At 36.7% G+C, this 16,680-nt stretch overlaps 1 protein-coding gene across 14 annotated transcripts in view, besides 1 other annotated feature; it reads left to right on the forward strand.

The window, feature by feature from the left end:
• Positions 1-16,680, forward strand: part of PKIB (cAMP-dependent protein kinase inhibitor beta) — a 254,453-nt gene that overhangs the window by 226,633 nt on the left and 11,140 nt on the right. For 8 of the 14 annotated variants that reach the window (XM_047419002.1, NM_001270394.2, XM_011535933.4 and 5 more), the window contains one exon: positions 2,887-2,947. The exons of 5 other annotated variants lie outside the window; for them this stretch is intronic. In XM_047419002.1, the coding sequence (XP_047274958.1) occupies positions 2,935-2,947 (13 nt within the window). In that variant the 5' untranslated portion in view covers positions 2,887-2,934. Of the gene's footprint in view, positions 1-2,886; positions 2,948-11,580; positions 11,643-16,680 lie in introns of all 14 variants that reach the window. One more of the 14 variants, XM_047419006.1, reaches the window with a different exon arrangement.
• Positions 5,438-5,638: a silencer, noted in NCBI's record as "peak6077 fragment used in MPRA reporter construct". NCBI's record gives its function as "represses an SCP1 promoter by STARR-seq MPRAs in K562 erythroleukemia cells {active_cell/tissue: K562}" and the evidence as "EXISTENCE:reporter gene assay evidence [ECO:0000049][PMID:32103011]".

The following is a 16,680-nucleotide window of genomic DNA, read 5'->3' on the forward strand; positions in this document are numbered from 1 at the left end:
CAGTTTCTTGCATCAGAAGCCCATGAGCAACTTATGACCATCACAGGTGGCCTAGAGACTCCAGGAGGCATGAGATGAGGTCGCTGAAGCCTCTGAGGGCACTAACTGGAGTGCCTGTTGATTTCATTTTGGACAGCTTCTACAGCCTTTTGTTGAGGAGGTTCCCCTTTAAGATGGGCAATCTGTAAGTAACAGCACTAGTGAAATTAAAGAAAATTTGCAAAAGAATATGTTGTCTCCAGAACCCAAAAAAGACTAAAAGATGTTGGACTTGTATTAACCTTGTAGGTACTGAGAGGGTTAATACCTGTTTTTTGACAGTATCAGGGATGGAGCAGCTTTTGCTTTACCAAATAACTTTCAGGAATTTAACAGAAGTCACAGGACTTTGTACTATGTGTGAAATATCCACCCTTTTTGTGTGAGTTCCTTTGTATTTGTATATTCTTAATGAATACGTCAAACAAATCTTCCTGGAGAAGGATGTCATCAATGTAATATACCTGTGCTCCTGGAGAAAGGTGGATGTCATTAAGATCCTGCCTGCAAAGACTGTGTGCAGTAGCAAGGCTGCTGAGGTAGCCCTTGAGTAGCCTGGTAAAAATATATTATGTAGCAGCGCACCAGCATGGCACATGTATACATATGTAACTAACCTGCACAATGTGCACATGTACCCTAAAACTTAAAGTATAATAATAAAAAAAAAAGAATTGCATTTGTGAACTAAAATATATATATATATATTGTGTCTCATGGGAGGTAAAAGCAAACTGTGACTGCTAAACTGCTGACATTGGCACCAAATGGATCATATTAGCCTAATTCATAGTAGCAAAATATTTATCAGTTGCTGATTGGATGGAGTCAGAAGTTTCAATACTCAGTTTGTTGGAAATAGGGACCTGAACTGTATGGGACCATGGCATTAAGGTTGCAGCAGTCTACTGTGCTGCACCATTTATTTGTTCCAGGTTTAAGGACAGGCCAAACAGGCCAGATTGGGTTGTTAAATGGAGAAGCAGTGGGGATAATAACCCCTGCACTCTATAGCTGTCATGTAACAAATTTTAATCCTCAAAAGCCCTGTTTTAAATTACTTTGAGCCATGTTAATAATTATTTTAATTTGGGGTGGAGGCAGAAGAGTCGGGAGTTTCCATCCTGTCAAGCCAATTTATAAGTGTCAAGATTTAATCTAATTTCCATTTATTTTTCATTGGGTCAGAGCGTCCATGTCCATTATGGGATATTTTAGGGCAATGATTGCTATGACCATGATGAGAAATTTAGGCAAGACAGTAATTATGATGGTTAAGAAGAGGCATATCTCTTTGTCCTCTATTTTATATGCCAGAACTCCCCTAATGTTATGGGGGATACCATGTTTAAATTTAGGAAGATCCTAGTCATAACTGTAATCTGAGCCCTAATGCCAGTTAAAACCATGAAGGTTTGCCAATTGGTGCATTTCAGCAGGTATTAAAGTTAATTAAGAACCTATACTGTAGAGGCACAAAAGCCAATCAGTGCCCCTTTATCTTGGCTATATAAATGCCTTTAATATATTTTGAATTTCCAATTGGGTCAAATTGTAGATCTTTGTTTTAGGGTTCTGTTGTTGTTGTTGTTGTTGTTGTTGGTTCCTCCCCGTATCCAGGATATTTTTTTCTTTGCTTTTTAAAATTTCTTTTCTTTCTTTTTTTTTTTTTTTTTTTTTTTAGTGGTGGTCACTGGACATATTTGGTGGTGGTGGGGTGGTGGTGTGGGATCCTCTTTACCCTGATGATACTTATAAGTCTTTTCTCTCAGAGAGCTTCAAATTAGTATCATCAGGGTTAGGGGTTTCCCCCACAGCAATGGTTGCTTTATATGGTTTAAAGACCCTGGGCTTAAGTTGAGTTTGAATTAATGGTGCCATGGGGTACCACAGTGCCACAAAGGTAACATAGGTATTTCTCTATAACCTCAAGGATTAGGATCTTTATTGCAACAGAGACATAGTAAGCAGAGTGGTACAGGGAAAGAAAGCTAGGTTTATAACCCAGACTCAATAGACCAAAATTATCTCCTGCTGCCACTGCCCTACCGTTTCTGTCGTGTGGACTTTTTCCCTCTTTGTTTGTTTCTTTCTCTGCACAAATTCCCTGAGAATATTTTGAGTTTTTAGCTAGGTGAAATTGGAGCTTTCTGTAAAATCACCTGTGGTGCAAACTTTCTGGGTACTTATGGGAAAACATTAGGGAGCTTAGTGGCCTTTCTCAGAAGTGGCTGCCTCTTCCTCTAGGAAGTGCGAGTCCATCTCTCTAGAGTTGAGGTCCATATCCAGTAAAGTCATTAGTCTATGGCTTGGATAGGGCCAGCAAGCCCATGATTGCAAGATTGGCCATTTGGTGTGCTAGTAGGCAGCAGTGCTGAGCCCAGGCATACTGGCTATGGGTTTTGCATTGGCAAATCATTTGAGTACCAAATGCTCCTTCCTCTCCCCACCCTTTTCTTTTTTCATTAGCACCTGTGCCACAGGCCACCATGGATCTGCACCTCGATGCCCTTCGGAGTCATGAGAGTGCAAGCAATAGCAGCTCAGGAAGCAGCAGCAGAGGAGACCAGAAAGGTCACTACCTTTGCATGAACAACAATGGCAACCAGGATACCATGCTTGGTTCTCCATGGTGTGGCCACTTTCCTTCCCACAAACCTCACACAGGGCTGCCTCTGCGCCTGTTCCATAGGTGTACCATTACAAGCAATGTCTGTATTGCTGCTCCAAGCAGCCAGTGACAGTCACCAGGCTAGACATGGTGATCAGAGAGCTCTAGCCTGAGCTCTGGTAAGCAGGAATGAAGTACTGACTGGTTAAGGCACTGTTTTCTCATTGCATTTACAGGCTGAAGCTTCAGAGATCACCTGCCAAACACAGGCTGAACCTGACAGCATGTCACACCAGGGTATAGTTAACAACCATTTTCTTCTTGGGGACAAGAGCATTGCAGAGTTAAAAGAGATGGCATAACAGTGCCACATAGGCCATAGCTCAAGCCCATCAGCAGTTAGCAGTTCTGTCTCAGGTACCCTTGCCAAATAACTCAGAACCAAATAACCAAGGAACAGTTAATTTTAACTGACTAGGTGTCTTCTGAAATGGTTGGGCATGTCATATGGTTCATAACACCAGTGGATTTTATTGCTTTCTATTCACCCCATTGGTGAACGAAAGATTCCTGCCCTGGAGATTCAGAGATGCCTAGACAACCAACACCCAACACTGGACAGATGAGATCCACAGCAGTTTACTGGTCATACATACCACCAAAGGAGAAGAACATTGCAGGGCATGCAGGAGCATGTGAGGGTTGTAACCAGGAATAGTATGAACAACCAGGGGCTGTGGGAGTAATAGTAACAAGAGTTACTATTAGTTACATTAGGTAACCAGAATAAGACTTGGATTTCTAAGAGTGACATGCTCAATAAAAGGGTAATATGACAAAACCCTAACCTCCAAGGAAGACAGTAAGGAGACTTGCCAGTCTTGACTTTGCCTTGGATGGAAACGGGGGAAAGACTCTCTTAATAACTTATGAACGAAAATGAAACCTCACATTGAGTGTGCAAATTTCCAACTGTGTAGTCTATGTAATCCGAACAAAAGTCATGCTGAGAATATAAGGCTACCAATCTGGTATTGCCCCAGCAGAGGCAAATTCAGAGCTAGGTAGAGGAAAACACCTTAACCCCATTTAACCCAGGTCTCAGGTAATTTTTTAAAAAAACTTTTTTTTTTTTTTTTTTTTTGAGATGGAGTCTCACTCTGTTGCCCAAGCTGGAGTGCAGTGGCGTGACCTCGGCTCACTGCAACCTCCACCTCCTGGGTTCAAGTGATTCTCCTGCCTCACGCTCCTTAGTGTCTGGGATACAGGCACACACCACCACACCCAGCTAATTCTTATATTTTTAGTAGAGACAAGTTTTCGCCATGTTGGTCTCAAACTCCTGACCTCAGGTGATCTGCCCACCTTGGCCTCCCAAAGTGATGGGATTACAGGCATGAGTCACTGCACCCAGCCTTAAGGGAAATGTTTTTAAAAATATGATCTCAGAACCCCAAATCACGAAGCAACCAAAGAAATAAGTCTCCATGAGAAAGATTCGACAAAAACGGTAAACAATGGGATCAGAGTATAAAGAATTTAAATATTGGAATTTTTCGTAGAGAATTTTTTTCACTATTTGAGAAGAATATATTTTAGTACTGTGGCATAATGTATAACTTTTTATAATAATAACTATATATGATATAGTATAGGTCTTAACTGTATCATTCATCATACAGTTATATGTTAAAATAGTTAATATTTATATGCCATAACATGAAGCATGATGTCGTGTACTTTCTCCTCCATTTTTCATTTGGAATACATTCTACAACATGACCCAAAATGTAAGAACTTGTGACTTGTAACTTTTGTTTAAAGCCATAATTGTGCAATAATGTGCTACAGAAAGATTCAATTGACTTCTCTTACGAAACAAGCTTCAATGTATCAGCTCTATTCTGTGAAATGCCCTTTAAGTAAAAGATAATATAACATTTTAATGCATCGTGTATAATGTACACATGCATATTGTCTATGTACTGAACACACATTGTATATGATATTGTTATTACTATTTGTAAAAAATTTTTATAGCCTTAATATATTTGAAAAGAATAATTGAGGGTTTTTTAATTTTTTATTTCTTTTAAACTTACAGAATTTTAATGGGAAAATGCTTATGTCGTATGTTAAGCAAACACAGCAGGAAACAGTACAGTATTTTGAAAACTATTTAAAACCCCACAGAAAAAAGACTGAAAGCAAACAGTTGCTCTTGTGTGATAAGACTACTGTTTTTATTTCAATTATTAAAACATTCCTTTATTATTTTTACTATGAGAAAACATATGTAAGTATAAATGACTAAGTAATAAGATACTGTAATACAATGAACTAAACTTGAAAAAGAGCAAAGTAGATTGCCTAGAAATAAAAATATGATAATTGGAAATAAAAACAGTGTGTGGATTATGCAGCTGATTAGACACAGCTGAAGAGAGAATAGTGAACTATATACACTTATGATGCAATTCTCTGAAGAATCTAATACACTTATGATGCAGGTGCCGTTCTTATGTAGAGCGTTTTTGCCATTCTTATGTAGAGCTTTTACATATATACATACACACACATATATATACATATATGTATATATGTATATATGTAAAAGCTATATATACACACATATATATGTATATATATGTAAAAGCTCTACGTAAGAACGGCAAAAATGCTCGCTCTCTATATAAAAAACGCTATATATATATGTGTGTATATATATATATATATATAGAGAGAGAGAGAGAGAGAGAGAGAGAGAGAGAAATTGGTTCATGCAATTATGAAGGCTGAGAAGTCCTAAGGCTTTGGCAAGCTAGAGACTCAGGAGAGCTAATGATATGGTTCCAGTTTGTGTTCAAGTCTGATAACCGGGAGACCCACTATTGTCGGTTCCAGGCCAAGTCTGAGTTTAAGGCAAAAGATTGAAGACTGAAGACAGCTTGAAGACAGGCAGAGAAAGAAATTCTCCTTCTCTCTATCTTTTTATTCCATTCAGGACTTCAATGCATGGGATGTGGCCCGCCCATATTGAGAAGGGCAATGTGTTTTATGCAGTCCACTGATTCAGATGTTAATCTTTTCTGGAAACACCCTCACAGACACACCCCGAGAAATGGTTAACCAAGTATCTGAGCACTTTGTAGCCCAGTCAAGTTGGCATATAAAATTAGCCATCACAATTAGCAAACTTCTTAACAGCAAAAATAGAATAATGTGGAATAATATTGTTAGGTGCTTTCATCCTAAAATAGTGTATTTGTAAGAATGAAGATAAAAATAGATCTTTTCAGTCATCAAAAAACTATAGTTCCCAAAAGAATTTCAAAGGCTAAACTCCAGGAGAAAAGGTGAATTATCTCAGGAATTGGAACATGAAAAAAATAACATTGTGGAAATATAACGGTATGATGGATATACACAGAAGACCAATTCTTAAATACTTAGATATATGCTAAGGTATTTAGATATGCAGTGTCATGTTAATGGCAGCTTGCTTTCAGTTGGTGAAATAATAACTGTGTGTGTGTGTGTGTGTGTGTGTTTATGTTTAGAGAGATTAAATATAGCAAAGTGTTGATCATTGAATCAGGTGGAGGCTCCTTCTTGAAACCCCAGTACTTTTGGAGGCCAAGGAGGGAGGATCACTTGAGGCCAGAAGTTTAAGACCATCCTTCAACTCTACAAAAAGTTTTAAAATTAGGCAAGTGTGATGCTGCCCACCTGTAGCTCTAACTATTCGGGAGGCAGACAGGACATTGCTTTTAGCTCAAACAATTGAGGCTGCAGTGAGTTGTGATCATGTCACTGCACTCCAGTCTGGGAAACAGAGGGAGACCTTGTCTAAAAATAAAATATACCAGAAAAACACTATAGCTGAAAGCCATCTATTTAATAATCCTTAGAATTTTTGTCACAAATTATTATAAACAAGATCTATTGTTTCCATGATCAAAAATTTCTCCACCAATATCTAATTTTGTGGTGCCTTTGTGAGTCCTCCAAGATCATCATGGTTCAATGACCACATTGATAATCAAAGCCTTTTTCAGAAATCAATGGACAATAAGAGTGTATTTGTCTATTTCTAGAGTGTCTATTTTATTTTGTATTCTATTTGTCTACCCTTGAGGAATACCACACAGAATTAATAGCCATCAAGTCTGATAGTGTAAGTCCTTTACTTTTTCCTTTCTTTTTGGAATAAGAAGTTATTCTCAGTCTGTAGCATTTTCATATAAATTTTTGGAATCAGCTTATTACTCTATTGTGGTAGATTTGATTTAAAAACTTCACCTTTTAATATGCTTTAATGGTTCTCCTTGACATCTGTCTCTATTTTCAGAAAGCGCATCTTTTTTTTTTTTTTTTTTTTGAGACGGAGTCTTGCTCTGTGGCTACACTGGAGTGTAGTGGCGCAATTTCGACTCACTGCAACCTCCAGCTCCCTGGTTCAAGTGATTCTCCTGCCTTGGCCTCCTAAGTAGCTGGGATTACAGGCACATGCCACCACGCCCAGCTAATTTTTTGTATTTTTAGTAGACATGGGGTTTCACCATGTTGGCCAGGATGGTCTCGATCTCCTGACCTTGTAATCTGCCTGCCTTGGCCTCCCAAAGTGCTGGGATTACGGCATGAGCCACTGCGCCTGGCCAGAAAATGCATCTCATACACACCTTTACTATGTGATTTAGAAGTTTCATGATTCCCTGGTGCTTACAGGATACGTTCACATATTGTTCATGGCATTCATTTTCTTTCCCACTATGTTATGACTATGCTCCAACTCATTTTTCCAACTCCACGTGGGCATAACACTCCATGGCAGCGAAATGTTTCCTTTTCTCTTATTTAGAACTTGCTTTTTGCACTCCCCTCTTTTAGCTTACAGATATTTCTCTGGCTTAGTAAGCCTTTCATTCCCTTTCTACCTGTGTGGATTCCTCCCAAATTTTGAGGCTCTGTGTGTGTTCTACAGCCTTTGTGAAATATTCCTTAATCACCCCAAAATTCAGTAACCATTTATCTTTTACATTTCTATAGTAGTTTTATTTATAACACTTATTTGAATATATCATATATTTACTTCTATTTTTACATTTCCTTTAATATGCAACATATTCCATCTGTACGATGAGTTCACAACTCTTTCAGGGTGGGGACCATATATTAAGCATCTTCATGTGTCCCCACTGTTTCTATCACAATGCTTAGTCTTATTTGCCACTGTTTCCCCAGAGTCTTGCACTGAACGGAAGATATAGTAGATGCTTAACAATAATTGATTGAATGAGGACTGAGTCTGTGCTCAATAAATGTTTGCTGAGGTGTAATTTAAGGAGAAAATAATGAGTTGTGAGATGAAATGGGTTCCAGTCTTGTCTCTGTTACTTGCTAGCTAGGTTTAGCCAAACCCTTTTATTTCTATGATCGTCAGTTTCCTCACCCTTAAAATGAAGACAGTAGTGACTAATCCACAGTGTAGAATCACATGAACAAATTCTCAATAAAGTGCTTTAAAACAATGCATGCTTAACACATGCATATGCCATTTTTCATATCATAAAAATCTTCATTATAGAAAATTTGGAAAAAAGTAAAATTCAACGAAGAAAATAGAAATCATTAATAATAACATACACAAAGGGAATAACTATTATAATTTCAGTATATTTCCCTTAAAATGTTTTTCTGTGAATGTATTTTAAAACTAATATATGCATAGTGGTTTTAAAATTTTGAAAATTTATGTTTTTAAATATTTTAGATATTTTCATGGCCTCATTTTTCTATTTAACTTATATAGTACTAAAGGACTATAGTAACATAATTTTGTACAAAATGTTTTTATAAAAGTTAAATGTATCAATTTAAATAATGCTACTTCTATTAACTTAATTGCAGGTTAATATAAACATGCATAATTTGATGAAAAAATATTTCAATTAGATGATTTTTCTTTCTAAAGTTGTTTGCCCTTTGGTTGGGATTTTTTTTCCTCTATGACCCAGAAAAATTCTCAAAACTACTCTTAATTTTTGTTCCCATAATTTTGATTGAATTTTTTGCTTGCTGCAACGTTATAATGATTTCTTCTGTAAAGTACCGAAGATAACTTAGAAAACAAATCAGAGCTCAAAAAGGCTTAATCATTTCTCTCCTTTTCTTTGTTGGAAGAAAAAAATGAATATTATATTCATTTAAATATGGGCTAAGAGACATCCTAAGAGTTTTTCTTTAAATTGATGAAATAGAAGAAAAAGACACTACCGAAACTGTGGGTGCATTTAAAAAAGCATTATACCTATCTATTTTATACCCATTTTATTTATCCGATTAAAGAAACATTTATAAGTAATTTCAGTACTCAGCCATGTTCCTTGCTTTTTGGCTATGCATATTTTACATAGTTGGTATATGCTCTCTAATGTTAACATTCAAGAAAATTTTATTTTTTCAAAACTGTCATTAGAAATTTTGAATTATGTTGATTTGAGAAAGATTGCATTTTTAAGATATAATAAAATGATATCAAATAAATATCATCTAGCTTCAAACTAAATGGTGTGTAAAATATGTTGTGATATTCTTGTATATGTGCCGCTGAAAAAATTCTGGCAGGTTATGCACCAGAATTACAACAGCACTGTTACTGGATAGCGGGATGGCAATCTCTTTTTCCTTCTTTATGTCTTTTGGAATTGTCCTTTTCCCAACAACAAGCATATATTAATGTCATATGCAAAAAGAAAAAAAATTCATGTTGAAAAGTGGAAAGACAATTATTTTATTTATTGAGTGCTTGCTGAATAAGAATCAGGCATGGCTTTTGGTCCTATGAATACATCAATGAAACAACCTACAAAAACAAAAGCTCTGCTTTGTGGAGCTTACCTTCTAGTGAAGGGAGACAGACAATAAGCAACAACTGCAATCATAAGTAAATGCGAATACATTTTCAAAGCTAGTAAGTGCTAAGAGAAAGTAAGAGGAATTAGAAGCTGGAGGGATGAGATGCAATTTTAAACAAGGTGGTTAAAGCAAGCCCCACTGAGAAAGCAGGACTCTGTCAATATTATCTTTTGTGACCCTTTTTCCTATGCCATATTATCTCATTTTAATATTACTCAGATTAAGAATGCTTTTTTAGGCATCATGAAGAAATCAAGAATTTCAATCCCATTTTAACCATTGGAGAGAACACTGAAACATGGTTTGTTTCTGAAAGTATGTGAAAATTTCACCTTTAGGGAGAAATCTTCCTATGGGCAGTGTAGGGGAGATATGGTTTTCTGTGACTGGTGACTTGTATGGTTCAGATGTTGCAGAAACGTAGACAGGTTTGAGGGTGTGCTGGGAAGCAGATTGTAAATGATTTTTTGAATGCCTTTTTAAACAATATCAACTTTCTGGAAATGTCTCAGAGTTAATCTCTTTTTCTTGACATGGAGTCTTGCTCTGTTGCCCAGGCTGGAGTGTAGTAGCGTGATCTCAGGTCACTGCAACCTCCTCCTCCCGGGTTCAAGTGATTCTACTGCCTCAGCCTCCTGAGTAACTGGGATTACAGGCATGCGTCACCACGCCTGGCTAATTTTTGTATTTTTAGTAGATACTGGCCAGTAGATATTGGCCAGGCTGGTCTCAAACTCCTGACCTCAGGTGATCTGCCTGCCTCAGCCTCCCAAAACCCTGAGATTACAGGCATGAGCCATCACGCCCAGCTGCGTTAATCTCTTTCTGCCTACAGTCCAACATCAGAGGCTGTCTCTAGAGCCACGTCAACACTGTTGCTTAAAAGAATAATTGATATTCATAATGATACTCTGTCATAGTGCCTATAAATTTATATGACTGATATCTAAATAAATTCCATTTGTGTAGTTGTTAACCAAGCACATTTATAACATTAGTTCATTTGAGTCCAGGGTAGTAAAATAGATAATATAAATCCTACTTTTTAAAAATGTAGAATGCTAATCAACAAAGAAGTTAGATGTCTTTCTAGAAGTTGAAAGTCCAGGATTCAACTTCAGAAGTGTTCACTTTTAGGCGACCAAACTTCCCATTGCTCCATATAGACCGTGTAACAAACAAGAGGACTAAGGGCAGTCACTTTGAGAGTGTGTTAATGCAGTTAAGTAGTGCCCAAAGCTCTGCTTTCAAATCATCATTTAAAATAGTTTTATTTTGAATATGTGCAAATCTAAATTACCTAAGGAGGTTTTGAAAAGTAGCTGAAGTCATTCTTAGTACAAAGAGATGGGATCAAGTGGGAGTTTTTTTTTTTAATTAAAAACAGTTTACTATAAAATACGTTATATTTTAAATAGAACATGTTACCACTATTTGATGTATGAGTATAAAATGAGTTGCAATGATGGAGTCACAAAAACAGTTTCAGAAGTGGAATAAATATGTGGCTACTTAAAGTAATTGCTTTGATAGATGATACTCATTTCCATCTATAAATTTTGGTGTGTTAGTAAAAATAGTTCTATTATTTGGTATCACACTGCATTTTCCCTTTGAAAGATAAATAAGTATATATTAATTATAAATGCTTTCTGAAATGAAAGTTTAAAATTTAAAGTGTCCATGTGTATAACCATCAGATGTCCTAGATGAGGGTCGTACTGTATGAGTTTTTGCAGCAACTACTGCTCTGGCTCTACCAATCCAGGTTTACTACCCACATCTAAAAACCATTGTATTTGCCATTAGTCTACAGCCTGACTCCTATCTATTTTGATGTTAACAAAACAAAATCTATTTTAATACTGAATAACTGAACTTTCAGTCTTATTATTTATTTACTTTTGATCTTTATTATGAATATTAATAATGTAAAGGACCTTCATTTTCAGCTCATAATCGATAGGTATCAGCTATTAATTCAACATTGATTTATTGATTGTATTAAGCAGATATGTTCCAGTCTCTCTACTAGGCAGAGGGATATGAAGCCATTTCTATTGTGACCACATTGGTAAGAATTAACTTCCCCTTCTCTTCTTCCTACTGATGTCATAAACCGCCATTTGACATTTTAAAACCATATATCTCATTGAAAAGGGAACTGACTTTTTAGGCCTTGCATGTAAACCCCCAACACAGACGGCCGTGTTCCCTCTTTGTAGGGAAGAGTACAAGCAGACCACAAGAACTTCAAAATCACATTGTACACAAGAACTTCAAAATCACATTATTTTCCCACTAGGGCAAATTCAGTGCTGGGGATTTTGTGTACTTGGAGTGTATTTGTGCCCCCTTTGAAATCTAAGAATACTTTGTGTACAATAGTAGTTGGAAAAGCAACTAAATGAGAAATGGGTGGTCTGAGGGCAGCCCTTCTCTGAAATTTGCTTACTTATTTTCTGGGGTTCCATTAAATGCTGTGTTCCCTGTGAAGCCTGGCCTCATTTTCTATCCTGGAATTAAGCGCTGCCTCCACTGCTCACGTGGTAAAGGTGCTAGCACGCAGCCTTCACAGACTGCCAGTTAAGGCATGGGAAGACCTTACTTACTGTGCCAAATTCCACAGTATCTAGCGTGGGGCTTTGCAGAGTTGGTGTTACATAAATGCTTTTTGAATTGAACCCTAACTTCTTTAAGCAGGCTCCAGTACCTCAATAAAATAAGAACCAACAATATTTGAGTCACTGGTTAGAAAGAATAATGTGAAACAAATGAAAGTGAAGGAGTATAAATAGGGTTTGAGGTAAGGTGGGAAAAAAAGAATGAGAAGGGTTTCTTCAAATCCGTGCTAAATCCTCTCAATTCTGAATACTCTGAAGCTAGAAATAAAAGCTAAACTATATAAAATGTAGACAGTAGGGATGCTTTGCTATGGTTATAACCACTTATATTCATCTAAAGGAGAAGTGAAAATATCACTGTATTCTGGATAACACCCAATATACATAGCACACACACACAAACACACACACCACACAGGGACACACACACCCCACTCAAGCTAATGTATTAAAAAGGAAACCTGTTTAATTTTTAGAAAGACTTTTTCATATACAGTGAATTTTCTTTTTTATTTTTATCCCTGTAGATAGCTGGGTTTGTTTTTGTTTTTTGTTACGGAAAGCAGCAGGAGGAATCATGGTAATGGAAGAAAGAGTACCGCCTAAACTTAGGAAAGACTTTGACACAAATTAAGCTATGTTATATTGATGCATCACTTAAGTGTCTGGATCTGGAAGTCTGGACTATATCATCTTTTCAAATGTAATATCCTGCAATCATGTGAGAAATTTATTAGTCCTTTTGGGAATCTGCAAGTGGTTGGGAGAAGCCCAACTAACTCCCTGCAAACCTTTATGGAGGATACATGTTGAATAAGTCTTTCTAGTATGAAACTAAAAAGAATAAGATGACCAGTTAAATCTGACTCCCCCAAACACAGACACATACTCAAGGAGGCTACATAGTTTATTGCAGTCCATCTTTTTTATCATTAACAACATTCATGTATATTAGTATTGTAAGTGGCCTTATGTTAGTATAAGAAGTAACATTGTGCTGGAAGGGTATTCAGCTTTGTGCATTAATTTATCTGGAAAATTATGAAAAAATTAATTTGACTTTGCATTTTGAATTTTATATGTTTAAGCTGTCAAAAATTCTCTGTGGTAAAAATAACTTCCATGTGCCTACCAATGTATATTGAAGGATCTGTCTATGCAATTAGCAAGCAAGAACATAAACATTAAAAAATGTGCGTGTCAACAAACCAAAGGTAGGGTTCCCTTTGACTTACACTAGAGACAGAGAAATACCATCTTTTGAAAAATTTCAAAGACAGGAAAGTTTCTAAGTTGAAAAAAATTACGCAGGTCTACATTTCATGTAAGTTCTGTTTAGCTTAAAATGATCTTGATACTTAAGTGAATAGGAGATATGTAAAGCATTTACATTTTAGGAGTGGGTAATTTTACTTTATTTCCAAATAATAGGATTTGAGGTCAAGAAAGGTAACTAGAAAGATCAAACTGTGTCTCATCTCACCAGACTCTGGGTTCCTCTTTGTAACTTGTGGGCCAGCAACAAGGCTTTGCACTTAATAATTTAGTAGGAGCTCAAGAGATGACTGAATGAATAAATAATGATCTGTTTTTGTTGGCACATAAAGAAGTAATTCTAGTTCTTTCGCCTTTTTTGGAAGAGGTTCGTGTGTTTCAAAACAGAAAATTATATGAAATAAATAATTCGTAGGCAGAGAACTGAAAACATGTAGCATAAGGGATTAGGATACTGAGAGCTGGAGAGAGGTAGATAAGGCATTTGGTTATCAGGGGAGACCAGTGTCAGTCTGTCCATTTGTCAGTCTCTCCTTCTCTCTTAGTCTTTGGTCAGGAAAAGCACTGACATTTTTTCCAAAATGCATGTTTTTACTTCTTTGTTATTTTGTGTTTTTTCAGAAAGTCTGACTCATACCTCCAGGGAACTAATTTAGCGGGCAAGAAGTTTATTTGAAGTCTTAGGTATAAAATGAGCAATGGTTTCACTGTGGAAGATAGGGTGAGTGATATGTATCTGGAGATGAGAAAAGAATGGATCTACCATTTTGCAATCTTGGCTTCAAGTAAGGAAGCTTGAGAAAATAATGTGTTTGAATTAAGAAAATGGACCTGTTGTGGGGAGGAAACAGTTTGCAAAACTTCTGTTTGTTTATAATTATGCTTCTAACATACTAACATCCTCTTTTTCTTAGCAGGCTCTTCGGGGCCCACTGGGTTCTGACTGGTGATTTTTTAATAGCCTTTAGTGCTCCATTTATCTTGAACATCTCGTCCTCTTGAGTAGTGCTGATGTTGCATTCTCAATATTTCAGAGACTGTAAAGATGCTGGCATGTGTGTATATACATATATAAATATATATATGACTGTGTAATAGTCTTTTCTCAAGCAGCCTGAAAATTGTATATTTTCAATAGAGATAGAAGTGTGTCTCAGGCAACGTAAATTGCGTTACCTTGCTGTGGGATTGCAAGGACTTTTGTGAAATCTCCAAATGTCTAAATGGTTCCAGCTCCTGTAAGCAGCCACAGTTGACAAAGCAGCACTCATCTAGAGTCCTTTGTTAATTCTCTAGAAGAGAAAGAGGAAGAGTTGCTAGTGAGTCAGCTGCCTTGGTTGGCAAACATAACATAATTAGCTATTTAAGCCCAGAAAATGAAAAGACCCTCAAGTTAATCTGTCATTTTTCTCTGCAGTATTTCCTCATCTTTCTGTGGGCTATATATTATAATTATCACAAGCCATTTGAAGAGAGCAATTGTCTGTTTTCTATATGTATATCGCCCCTTTTAAAAAAACCAAGCATGTGCAATCGGTGTTGTATAGAAAACTAACAACAGACAAATGAGAGATGGCTACTGGGGGAAGGAGAAGCTTTCACTTAACGATATGCTATCATTTGGTTAAATTTTCAAAATGTTACTTTTAGAGCCTTTCTGTGCTAGAATATCTGTTTATTTATAATTTTTCCAGGTGGATTTTTCAATTCTTTTAAATTACAAAGGTAATATATATGCTCATTAGTAAAAGTGAAAATATGTAAAGAGGTAGAGAAAAAGGTTAATATTTTCCTTGTTCTACCTTCCGTTCCCAACTAGAATTTTTATTATTTGTATAAAGTTGAGGTTACATTGCATTCATAATGCTCTCCCCTTTTCCCCCTATAAATATTAATTTTTAAACTTGCTTTATTTCACAGTGTGTCAGTGGATCTAATACATTCTTTAACACTGTGGTATAACATTCCATAACATAATTACATAGCTTATTCAGATACTTTTTTTCTTGTTGGGCTTTCAGGTTGTCTCCAGTGGTACAATAAATCTCTTTGCTTTGGAGTTTAAAGAGCCCAGCTAAGAGTCACCTTGTGGATTCAAATATTCCTGCCACCAATTTCTAGGCCATTGACACATTTGGTCAGGAAAATAGCTTTTCTCTGTAGAAAGTGCCATCTTCCTACATCGCTGTGAGGCTGGGCGGGGTTAGCTATTCGGTCTGCCTCTGGTGAAGCATGACATCTTGGTCAGTCAATATCAGTGGCAGACTGAAAGGAAGATTGTGCCAAATGTGAGTTTGCCACAGCCAAGTACAGCCCCGAAGTAAAACAGTTTTGTTACTTAGCCTCCCTATATGGCCACTTCTGTTTTCGATCTTAAAATAGTAGTTAATGAATATAATTTTAACAAACTTTTAGATAGTTTTGTGATTCTTTTATTTTCCAGCATCGATCTACAAAAAGGACTAATTAGAAAGCCTCTATGTGAAATAATAATATAAAGGCAAAAGGAAAAACTTCCAAAATAGCAGTCAGCTAGCAGCAAAATAATCTTGAAATAAACGTGAAACCCAGAATTTCTTTTTCCATGCTGACGGCCCACTCCAAGGGCCACTTTTTAGAAGTTCTTTTTTAACAACAGACATTGGGGTTCACTTGAGGGTGGAGGGTGGGAGGTGGGAGAGCTGCAGAAAAGATAACTATTGGGTATTGGGCTTAATATCTGGGTGATGAAATAATCTGTACAACAAATCCCCATGACACAAGTTTACCTACGTAACAAACTTTCACGTCTTGCTCTATCACCCAGGCTGGAGTGCAGTGGCGCAGTCTCGGCTCACTGCAGCCTCTGCCTCTGGGTTCAAACGATTGATTCTCCTGCCTTAGCCTCCTGAGTAGCTGGGATCACAGGTGTGAGCCACCATACCTGACTATTTTTTTTTATTTTTTAGTAGAGACAGGGTTTCACCATCTTGGCCAGGCTGGTCTCAAACTTCTGGCCTCATGATCTGCTCACCTTGGCCTCCCAAAGTGCTGGGATTACAGGCATGAGCCACCACGCTGAGCCAAAAAAAAAAATATTTAAAAAAAAAGGAATTTCTCTTTCAACATACAAATTTCAACTCAATATTCATTTAAAATGTCCCATCTTGCTGAAGAAGTTTACCTATTTTATTTTATATAAAATATATAGCATTTATTTAAATATTTAAGATC

Source organism: Homo sapiens, chromosome 6 (genome assembly GCF_000001405.40).
Source record: "Homo sapiens chromosome 6, GRCh38.p14 Primary Assembly".
NCBI classification, from domain to species: Eukaryota; Metazoa; Chordata; class Mammalia; order Primates; family Hominidae; genus Homo; species Homo sapiens.